Here is a 12111-nt window from a genome sequence, read left to right as displayed (position 1 = left end):
AAAGTGTGTTACTGTGTTTACACAAATGCTGGATGATAGTCTTTCTAGGATGTTTCATAAGCACTCCTTTATTGGGCCCAAAGTTTAGACTAAGTGCTTTACAAAGGTTCTTTAAAACAAAAACAAAAACAGAAACATTTATTGGCTGGGCACAGTGGCTCATGCCTGTAATCCCAGCACTGTGGGAGGCCAAGGTGGGAGGATGGCTTGAACCCAGGAGCTCAAGACCAGCTGGGGCAACATAGTGAGAACCTCCCATCTTTTAAAAAAACAAAAACAAAAAATTAGCCAGGCATGGTGGTGCATGCTTGTAGTTCCAGCTACTTGGGAGGCTGAGGCAGGAGGATCTCTTGAACCCAGGAGTTTGAGGCTGCAGTGAGCCATGATGGTGCTTCTGAACTCCAGCCTGGACAACAGAGTAAGACCCTGTCTCGAATGAATGAATGAATGAATGAATGAATGAATGAATGAAAATTTTTATTGAATAACTACTATGCTCTAGGTTGTCTGGCAAGTGGAGTACTGGATATAATAAACAGGGTAGAGACCAGAGGAAGTAAATACTGTTTATCCATTCTGTACATGGTTACTAAGTTAATGTCAGGTTTCTATTTGGCCCTTGAAAAACCACTCCAAGTAGGTGAGAAGTGTCTGTAAGTAAGTTAAATTTTTGTATGATGACGGATGTCTTGATAAAGCGCAGTGGCATTCAGAGGGAAGTTTAGTTGGCCCTGCCCTGGATGTCCTTGCTTTAGTATCTTGCTGCTTTATTGTAACATGCTTTCTTAAAACCTTCTTAGAAGTACTAGTTGGATCCCAACTGTGGCTCCTCCAGTCAATGGTAAGTTAGTATTTGTGTAGTGACTTTTTTTTTTTTCCTTTTTGACACTGGACCTACTTCCATTTACAGTCAGATACTGCTTAAAACCTTTTTGTGGGCAAAGTAGGTCAAACCTAAAGTGCACAGAAGGGAACTGTTCAGGTAGAGAGGCAGATTCTGTAGAAGCGCCTGTCCCGTTTTCCCTTCCCTGCCGTTGGATCACTTTTGCTAGAGCTGTGCAGCCTTCATGCCCAAAGCTTGGAGTCTCTCCAAAAGTATTCTAGAATGAGATTCTGCCAAGTGCTAGCATTAAAGCTTCAGTATTGGGACTTTGGAGTGCCCCTTCTGCCCTTTGGCCTTTTTAAATGGAAACTGGGCGAGGCTGGTAAGCTATACCTTACTATTCTAAGGTGACCACCACTTGGAGTGTGGGTTTAAGACTGCTGCCAACCTGGATTTCCAGTACAGCTCTGCTGCTTGCTAGTGGGGTGACTTTGGACAATAATAATAAAGCTATTTGTCAATTATTGAAGCTCTTTACTATTTGCCAGGCAGCAATGAGGCCAAGCACTTTTCATGAGTTGTATTTCCTCCTCTTGATAAACTCACAAGATAGGTCGTATTCTTGTCCCTATTTTTGAGACGGTGAGATGCAATGGAGTCAGCCAACCCAGTTCCACCACATACCAGTAGCCTTGGCCAAATCATGTGCTTCATCTTTAAGCCTCAGACAAGACCTACCCCATCAGGTTGTTGTTGCAAGGAACAAGTGAAGTAACCTGGCACCCAGCTGTTGCCCAGCACATGTTAGGGGCTGACTTGCCTAAGGCTGCACTGAGAGTATTTTGCAAGTGGACTAAAGTTGAACTGCTTTGGGAAGATATTTGGCTTCTTACTTTGTAAGTTGGAGTAAAGATTGTTTCTAAATCTAGTTCTTTTCCTTTTTGTCTCTAGATTAAACTCTTACTATATCATTCAGTTAGGAGCTCTCATGTTTAGCCAACGTTCTCAGAAAGTGATCAGTTCAAGGGCTGTGGCATGGAGGGGAAGTGATGCAAGCTTTATTATGATACAGATGAGTAACCATATAAAATGGAAAATAATATTTGTTCTCCCCACATTCCCATCCCCTCTTACCAACCTAATATTTATCTATCTATCTATTTTGAAATATTTGAGGCAGAGTCTCTCTCTGTCACCCAGGCTAGAGTGCAGCGGTGCAATCATAGCTCACTATAGCCTCAACCTCCTGGGCTCAAGCAGATCCTCCCACGTTGGCCTCCTGAGTAGCTGGGACTACAGGTGTGCACTACCATGCCCGGCTAATTGTTTAATTTTTTATAGAGACAGGGTCTCACAATGTTGCCCAGGCTGGTCTCGAACTCCTGGTCTCTAGTGATCCTCTCAGCCTCCCAAAGTGCTGGAATTACAGGCGTAAGCCACCACGCCCTGGCCATAATATTTATTTTTTTATTGCCATTTATAACTTGGCTTACACTGCTACTGGCTATTTACTAAAAATCAGAGCAAACTTTGCCTTATTATTATGTATTGCATATATATTTTTGAAAGGTCACTCTTGCAGTTTTACTAAAAAAAAAATAAATAAAAGTTTCAGTGAATTCCGGAAGTTTGGGAATTCTCGGTTTACGCTAGCCCTGTCCTGTGTTTCTGTTTGGCTCTGTCCTCAGGCCTTGCCACCATTTTCTCTCGGTGAAAGAACTTGGCTTCACATTCTGTTCAGTTTCATGAACCTGCCTGTCACTTTGAGGCAGCGTTTGGGATTCTGCTTCATTAGCCTTTGAACTCATGAACCAAGTTGAGAGGATTTGCTACTATAGACAATTATTTGATCTTCGAGATATTTTGAACAGTTCCCAAGTGCAACACCAGTGGTTGTCCAAAAGACACAGAGAAGTGATGTGAAATTTTAATTATGTAAAAAAAAAAAAAAAAAAAAAAAAGAAAGAAAGAAAAAAGCCCTGTGGCATGGTTGATGTCAGTGCTATGGAGTGAGCCTTTTAGTAGTGCGGTCAAGGACACTACTTTTTTTTTTTTTTTTTTTTGACACGGAATCTCGCTCTGTCACCCAGGCTGGAGTGCAATGGTGCCATCTTGACTCACTGCAACATCTGCCTCCCAGGTTCAAGCAATTCTTCTGCCTCAGCCTCCCAAGTAGCTGGGATTACAGGCGCCCGCCACCACACCTGGCTAATTTTGTATTTTTTAGTAGAGATGAGGTTTCATCATGTTGGCCAGGCTGGTCTTGAACTCCTGACCTTGGGTGATCCACCTGCCTTGGCCTCCCAAAGTGCTGAGATTACAGGTGTGAGCCACTGCGCCCGGCCTTTTTTTTTCTTCTTCTTCTTCTTTTTTTTTTTTGAGACAGAGTCTCACTCTATTGCCCAGGCTGGAGTGCGGTGGCCCGATCTCGGCTTACTGCAACCTCTGCCTCCCGGGTTCAAGCGATTCTCCTGCCTCAGCCTCCTGAGTAACTGGGATCACAGGCATGCGCCACCATGCCCAGATAATTTTGTATTTTTAGTAGAGATGGGGTTTCACCATGTTGCCCAGGCTGGCCTCGAACTCTTGACCTCAGATGATCCACCAGCCTCAGCCTCCCAAAGTGCTGGGATTACAGGCGTGAGCCACCTGCCCGGCCTAACATTTCAAAATGCTAAAAACAGGTTCTTGTAGTCTTTTCCTTGGGTCCAGCATCGTTTGTTGCTGACTATATCAAGCAGCTACCAAGATGGCGCAGTGAAGGTGATGCGCAGTGGAGACTGTTCCCCTCGCCGCTCCCTGGTTCCTGCAGAGAGTCCTGTTGGCAGCTCGTTGGAACAATGGTTTTCCCCTGGAGTTTGAGGAGCTTGTCTTGGGTGTGGTGCATCCCTACACCATGTGTACAGTTTCCAGACTGCTATGATTTTATCTCTCAGCAATGCGCCAAGAGGTTTTAGTGAAAATTTAAAAACCGCCAAATCGCCTATCAAACCGAGTTTGAAAAGAGACCTCTTGGGAAAGGACAAGCTAACTATTCTAAGTGGTCTACGATCCAAAGCATTTCCTGGGCTGAGTGTTTATCAAAGCTGAGCTTTACTTCCAAACTAAGCTTGGGAAGGATCTGGGAGTGTTTCCCAGCTGACTGGGGGCGGGGAGAAGAGGAGGATGCGAGTGTTAAAGAACAGAGAAAATATCACTCTCTTTTCTTTTACACAGTTATCTGCTGAAATCTGTCTATAGATATGGCTTGCAAACTAGGTGTTGTTTTGGAGGAGAGAGAGGATAGGTCTGCTAAGTGTTAATTTAGAAATTATATACAATATCTTAATTTTATTTTGGGAATGGAACATTGGGTAAGATTAGCTTTTAAATGGATCAGCTTTACTCTTCAAGGTTAGAAAAATGCATAGAAAATAGCATTATTTCCCTGTTAATTGTCATTAATCTCAACTCACACTATTTTTTTTTTTTTTTTTTTTTTGCTTTGACTCTTACCATCTCAGAATTCAAGGTCTAAATTGACATATTTGGGAAGAGCAGGGTGTTGGGGAAACAGAACTGGTAAGTAGATGGTTTTCCTCTCCCATCTGACTCAGTGTTAGAGAACTCTGTTGGAGACAGTGTTAATTTCAATATCTTGATGCCCGATTTTATCGTTACAGACATCCTGTTATACAGAATAGCTTATTTGCTCTCTTAATAGAAATCTTGTAAAGAAAATCCATCTTCCTTATTTCACTGTTTCTTTCCCTAAAAGTTTTTGTATACCACCCCTTTATCAAGAATTAAGATGTTGGGGAAAAAAAAAAAACAAATCTTTTTGGGCTAAATAATGCCAGCTTCACTTCCCTCAATGATGACACATTTATCTGTATTTTAAAGTTGTTTTTTTTTTTTTCTCCCTTTCCCACTACACTGCTCTGCATGTGGGTTCCCTAGCTGAGAAGCTGCCATTGATGGTGAAAGACTTTAATCTAAATTTAGATTCTCTTCAGAGGTTTCGTGGAATACTTCCTTAAATTAAGCCACAGACTGCAAAAGCTGCTGCTGAGTGGGGCTTCCAGGTTTGTTTTTTTTTTTTTTCAGCTCTAGAAATAAAGAAGACAGGGCAGGAAGGACTGGCTCTCACTCTCGGCTTCTTTGGGAGATTCTGCCATTGTAGACAGAATCAGTAGCAGCTTCTGTCATGAATTTAAAACTCAGGAGAGAGGATTTGGTGGTAATCTGATGGAAGTGGAAAACAATCACGACTCTGAGGGAGTGTGGGTGAAACAAGTTGCTTTGTTTAGGTTGTGTTGGAGACTGTAGGTAGTAATAGACAATGATAGGACATCTTTTTGTCTGATGCCTGTAAGTGTACCTGGAGACTTTGAAGCCATACTTGTTAGTTCATTCCTGCATTACTATAAAGAAATACCTGAGACTGAGTAATTTACAAAGAAAAGAGGTTTGATTGGCTCACGGTCCTGCAGGCTGTACACAAAGCATGGTGTTGGCATCTGCTTAGCTTCTGGGGAGGCCTCAGGAAGTTTCCAATCATAGCGGAAGACAGAGAGCAGGCATCACATGGTGAGGGAAGGGGTGAGGTGCCAGGCTCCTTAAACAACCAGATCTCATGGGAACTACCAGGGCAAGAACTGACTCATTACCATGGGGATGGCACCAACCCATTCATGAGGGGTCTGTGCCCATGACCCAATATCTCCCAGTAAGCCCCATCTCCAGCACTGGAGGTCACATTTCAGTATGAGATTTGGAGAGGACACATATCCAAACCGTATCACCATGAGTTAAACCAATACATCAAATTTTTAGGGACAGTTGGAAGATCTTCAGAGTCAAGACAAAAGAGTTGAAAATGGGGTGTTGGACTATAACCATGAGTATTTTATACAATCTCTCTTTCTCCTTGAATCATAGAAATGGTGTTTGAAAGCTCCTTTCAATATAGAGAACCCCCTTACCTGTCAGTGCCCAAAGGCCCCCAACTGGGGAGATCTGAAGTGAGAGGAGGAAGCTGCCCAGGTTTTCCTGTCCCTGGAGAGCCATGGGTCCTGAGGATTGGAGCTTATCATTGAGCAGGCTGTTGTCACATACACAGCCTTCCAGCTTCTATTATGATGCATTGTACTGTTTATATAATCTTGTATTTGGGAAATGCCTAATTATATTTTTTAAAATTACTCCAATATCTGTCACTGTTAGATAAACACTTCTAGAATCTCATTCCCAGTGTTTTCTTTCTCCTGGCATGGGTCAACAACCTTCCTGTGAGCATATTTTCATTATATAATGGCCCCTTTATTTACATATTTACTCTTTCTAAAAGGTTAATTTCTTTGTGGGGAGGGAAGGTGATATATACACAGTGTAATATTTAAACTGTACAAGATGGCTTATTTGGAAAGGAAATCTCTTCACGCCTGGCCTTTGCCTTCAAGTTCTCTTCCCCAGAGGCAATCCACTGGTAACAATTCCTTGTATATTTTAGCAAAGATACGCTAGATAAAAATACTTGTACATATATTCTTTCTCTACCTCCCCATCCCCCTTTAAGAAGAAGCACACTATACACTGTTCTTTACTTTGCTTTTTTCCTCAATATATCCTGGAGATCAGGAATTCAAGACCAGGCTGGGCAAAATAGCGAGACCCTGTCTCTAAAAAAAAAAAAAAAAAAAAAAAAAAAAAAAAAAAAAAAAATTGGCATGTTAGCTTCTCAGGAGGCTGAGATGGGACGATCGCTTGAGCCCAGAAGGTTGAGGCTGCAGTGAGCTGTCATTGCATCACGTACTGCAGCCTGGGTACAGGGCAAGACCCTGTCTAAAAATAACAATGCAGAAATAAATAGGAACTATCTTAGAGATCCTCCCATATCAGTATAATATAGAGCTGTCTTTAAAAAAAAGTTGAGGTAAAATTCTTGCAACATAAAATTTACGTGTATAATTAAGTGGCTCTTAGTACATTCCCAGTGTTGTACAACCATCACCACTATCTAACTCTAGAACATTTTCATCACCCCCAAAAGAAACCCAATACTCATTTAGCAGTCACTTTCTGTTCCCCCAACCCTAGGCTTTACAACTACTAATCTGCTTCTGTCCCTATGAATTTGCCTGTTCTACATGTTTCATGAAAATGAAATCATATGTATGTGGCCTTTTGTGTTGGTTTCTTTCACTTGGCATAACGTTTTCAAGGTTCAATCCTGTCGTAACTTGTATCAATACTTCATTCCTTTTTCTTGCTAAGTAATATTTGATTGCATGGATAGACCACATTCTTTTAATTGATTGACATTTGGATTGTTTCTGCTTCTTGGCTATTGGGAATCATGCTGCTATGAACATTTGTGGGCAAGTTTTTGTGTGAACATATGCATATGTTTTTATTCTTGGATATGTACCTAAGAATGGAAATGCTGGGTCATATGGAATTCTGTATTTAAATTTTGAGGGACTGCCAAACCGTTTTCCAGTCACTGCATCATTTTACCATCCCATCAGTGGTGTTCAAGGGTTTCAGTTTCTCCACATCCTAGTTTACACTTGTTATTTTCCATCATCGTTTTGTTTTTTGCTGTTTAGTTATTATTACAGGCATCCTAAAGGGTAGGAAGTAGTATCTTATTGTGGTTTTGATTTGCATTTCCCTAATGACTAATGAGGATGAGCGTATTTTCATGTGCTTATTGGCTACTTGTATATCTTCCTTAGAGAAATGTCCACTATTTATCCATTATTTGTATATCTTCCTTAGAGAAATGTCCAATAATTTTTGTATTTTTAGTAGAGACAGGTTTCAGCATGTTGGTCAGGCTGGTCTTGAACTCCTGACCTCAGGTGGTCCGCCTGCCTTGGCCTCCCAAAGTGCTGGGATTACAGGCGTGAGCCACCACGCTCAGCATATATATTCTTGATATTAGACTCATCAGATATATGATTTCCAAATATTTTCTCCCATTTTATGGGTTATCTTTTTACTTTCTTAACAGTGTTCTTTGCTGCATAAAAGTTTTAAATGATGGAGTTCTTTATTTTTAAATTTTGTTGTGGCCGGGTGCAGTGGCTCACGCCTGTAATCCCAGCACTTTGGGAGGCCGAGGTGGGTGGATCACCTGAGGTCAGGAGTTTGAGACCAGCCTGGCCAACATGGTGAAACCCCGTCTCTACTAAAAATACAAAAAAATTAGCCAAGTGTGGTGGTGGGCGCCTGTAATCCCAGCTACTCTGGAGGCTGAGACAGGAGAATCGCTTGAACCCAGGAGGCGGAGGTTGCAGTGAGCTGAGATCATGCTATCGTACTGAAGCCTGGGCGACAGAGTGAGACTCTGTCTCAAAAACAAAAACAAAACCAAAAAAAGCGTTGTTTGTGCTTTTGGTATCATATTGAAGAAATCATTACCTAATCCAAAGTCATAACTAATTTACCTCTATGTTTTATTCTAAGAGTTTTAGTATTTTAGCTCTTAAATTTAGATCTTTGTTCTATTCTGAATTAATCTTTATATATAGTGTGACATAGGGGGGTCCAGATTTATCCTTTTGCTAGTGGATATCCAGTTGTTCCTGCACCATTTGTTGAAAAGACTGTTGAAAAAGACTTTTCCCCCATTGAATGGTATTGGCACCCTCTTGAAAAAAAAAATTGACTGTAAATATATGGCTTTATTTCTGGACTCTCAATTGTATCCTGTTGATCTATAATGTCTCTCCTTATGCCAGTACCACACTGTTTTGATTACTATTGCTTTGTAGTAAGTTTTAAAATAGGAAGTGTGAGTCCCCCAGCTTTGTTCTTTTTCCAGATCGTTTTTGCTATTTGGGCTCCCCTGTAGTTTTATATGAATTTTAGGATGAGCATATCCATTTCTATAAAAAAGGCACTTGGGGCTTTGATAGAAATTGCTTTGAATCTGTAGGTTAATTTTAGGAATATTGTCATCTAATATTATGTCTTCATATTATTAAGTCTGTGAACACAGGATGTCTAAGTCTTCAGTTTCTTTCAATAATGTAATTTTCAGTGTATGAGTCTTGTATTTTTTTGGTTAAGTTTATTTCTAAGTATTTTATTCTCTTTGATGCTAATGTAGATGGAATTCTCTTCTGAATTTCATTTTTGGATTGTCATTGCTGGTATATTGAAATACAGCTGATTTTAGTATGTTGATCTTGTATTTTGCAGTTCTGCAGAGCTTATTCATTAGCACTAACAGCTTTTGTGTGGATTCTTTAGGGTTTTCTATATATAAGATTATGTCATTTTTCAATAGAGATAGTTTTACTTCTTCCATTCCAATCCAGATACCTTATTTGGCAATTGCAGTCTAGTCTTGTTCCTGTTATTAGTGGGGAAGCCATTTGGTCTTTCACCAGTAAATATGATGTTAAGCAGTGGGTTTTTCATAGATGTCCCTTATCTAGTTGAGGGAGTTTCTATTCCAAGGATGTTGATATTTTTATCATGAATGTTGGAATCTGTCAAAAAAAATGTTCTGCATCAATTTGGATGATATTGTGGTTTTCCCCCTTTATTCGATTAACATGGCATATTACATTGATTGATTTTTGTATGTTGAACCCTTGCATTCCTGGGATAAATCCCTTGATCATGGTGTATAATCCTTTTAATATGCTCTATGTTAAATTTGTGCATATTTCGTTGAGGATTATTTGCATCTGTACTCATAAAGGATATTGGTCTGTAACATCTTTGTCTGACTTTGGTATCTGGGTGATACTGGCCTCACAGAATGAGTTAGGAAATGGCTCCTCTTCTTTTATTTTTGGAAGAATTTATGAAGGGGTTTTGTTAATTTAAAAAAAAAAATGTTTATGGTAAAGCTCACCAGTGAAGCCATCTGGTCTTAGAGTTTTTCTTTTTGGAAGTTCTTTTGGTTATTGAATTAATCTGTTTGTTATAGGTCTATTCATTTTGCTCTTTCTTCTTGAGTCTTTAAAAAATTTTTAATTTTTGTGTTGAGTCAGTTTTTGTAGTATGCATATTTCTAAGAATTTGTCCATTTCATCTGGGTTACCTAATTTGTTGGCATACAATTATTCATAGTATTTTTTTTTAAGTTGAGTAGTAGTGTCCCTAGTTTCTCTTTCTCTCTCTTTCTTTCAAGACAGGGTCTCACTCTGTCAGTGGTATGATCTCAGCTCACTGCAGCTTCAGCCACCCAGGCTCAAGTGATCCCCGCACCTCAGCCTCCCAAGTAGCTGGGATTACAGGTGTGTGTCACCACACCCAGCTAATTTTTGTCTTTTTTGTAGAGACAGGGTTTCACTGTGTTGTCAGGCTAGTCTCAAAACTCCTGAGCTCAGGTGATCCACTCGCTTCAGCCTCGCAAAGTGCTGGGATTACAGACATGAGCCACTGCACTGGCCCGTGTCCCCACTTTCATTTTTTTATTTCTAGTGATTGAAATCTTCTCTCCTTTTTCCTTGGTCAGTCTATCTAAAGATTTGTTAGTTTTATTGATCTTTTCAAAGAACCAACTTTTGATTTTCTTAATTCTCTGTATTGCTGCTTTATTCTCTATTTCACTTATCTGTGCTCTAATCTTTAATATTTCCTTTCTTCTGCTTGCTTTGGGTTGAATTTGCTGTTCTTTTTCTAATTCCTTGAGATGGAAGTTTAGGTTATTGATTTCAGGTCTTCCTATTTCAATATATGCATTTATAGCTATGAATTTTGTTCTCTTCACTGCTTTTGTTATATGCCACACATTTTGATATGTTGTATTTTCATTCTCATTCTTCTCAAAGTATTTTCTAATTTCTCTTGTCATTTTTTTCTTGACCTATTGATTAACAGTGTATAAGTTCACATTTTTGTAAATTCCAAATTTTCTTCTGTTATTGATTTCTAATTTTATTCCAGTATGGATGCAGAAGATACTGTGTATTACTTCATTCTTTTAAAATTTATTAAGACTTGTTTTGTGGCCTAATATGTATCCTAAAGAATGTTCCACATGTGCTTGAGAAGAATACACTTTCTGCTACTGTTGGGTAAACTGTCCTGTATATGTCCGTTAGGTATAGTTGCTTTATAGTATTTTTTAAGTCTTCTGTTTTCTTGTTGATCTTCTGTTTAGTTGTTCTGTTGTTATTGAAAATGGAGTATTGCTGTCTCCAACAATTATTGTAGAGCTATTTCTCCCTCAATTTTGTTAGTTTTTTTCCTCATATATTTGGGGCTCTATTGTTAGGTTCATATATGCTTATAATTGTTGTATCTTCTTGATGGTTTGACTCTTTTATCATTATATAAGGTTTTTCTTTGTCCCTTATAACAATTTTTGTCTTAAAGTCTGTTTTATCCGATATTAATATAGCCACTGCAGTTGGTTACTGTTTGCATGGGTTATCCTTTTCTATCCTTCTATTTTCAACCTATTTGTGTAATTGGATCTAAAAGTAATCTCCTGTTTATGTTAAGTAAATATTTTCTAGTGTATTATTTTAATTCCCTTTAGTACAAATTTAAATAGTATTTTCTTAGTGGTTGCCCCGTGGTTTACAATTAACATCTTAATTTATAACAATCTAGTTTAACTTAATACCAACTTAGTTTCAATGATATATAAAAACTTTGCTCTTATATAGTTCTGTCCACCACTTTATCTTGTTATTGTCACAGATTATATCTTTATACATTATGTGCTCATCAGTGTGTATTTGTAATAATTTTTATGCAGCCATCTGTTAAATCATATTTTAAAAAGAAGAGTTACAAGCCAAAAATAACATTACTATTCCTTTTTTAAATTTGCCTATATATTTTCCTTTATTAGTGTTCTTTATTTCTCAGGTTACTGTCTAATGTTCTTTTTTTTTTTTTTTTTTTTTTTTTTTTAGACGGAGTCTCACTTTGTCACCCAGGCTGGAGTGCAGTGGCATGATCTCGGCTCACTGCAAGCTCCGCCTCCCGGGTTCACGCCATTCTCCTGCCTCAGCCTCCTAAGTAGCTGGGACCACAGGCCCCGCCACCACACCCAGCTACTGTTTTGTATTTTTAGTAGTGACAGGGTTTCACCGTGTTAGCCAGGATGATCTCGATCTCCTGACCTTGTGATCTGCCCGCCTTGGACTCCCAAAGTGCTGGGATTACAGGTGTGAGCCACCGCTCCCAGCCGTCTAATGTTCTTTTGTTTCAGCTTGAAAGACTCCCCTCAGCATTTCTTGTAGAGCAGGTTTACTATCTACAAACTTTCTTGGTTTTTAGCTTTGTAATGTCTTCATTTCTCCTTTGTATTTGAAGGATAGTTCTGGCAC

General features: G+C 39.3%; 1 protein-coding gene across 7 annotated transcripts in view; it reads left to right on the top strand.

Annotated features, from left to right (window-relative positions):
* The window catches only part of SMURF1 (SMAD specific E3 ubiquitin protein ligase 1), a 116669-nt gene that overhangs the window by 18579 nt on the left and 85979 nt on the right, over positions 1-12111 (top strand). The window contains exons 2-3 of one of the 7 annotated variants that reach the window (XM_047420636.1): positions 4327-4384; positions 4763-4887. The exons of 4 other annotated variants lie outside the window; for them this stretch is intronic. The gene's annotated coding sequence lies outside the window, so the exon portion shown is untranslated. Of the gene's footprint in view, positions 1-4305; positions 4888-12111 lie in introns of those variants that run through there. 2 more of the 7 variants (XM_047420637.1, XM_047420635.1) reach the window with 2 other exon arrangements.

The sequence above is a fragment of the Homo sapiens genome, chromosome 7 (genome assembly GCF_000001405.40).
Source record: "Homo sapiens chromosome 7, GRCh38.p14 Primary Assembly".
NCBI classification, from domain to species: Eukaryota; Metazoa; Chordata; class Mammalia; order Primates; family Hominidae; genus Homo; species Homo sapiens.
Note: the sequence above shows the minus strand (reverse complement) of the source record. Positions and strands in the feature narration are given on the sequence as shown.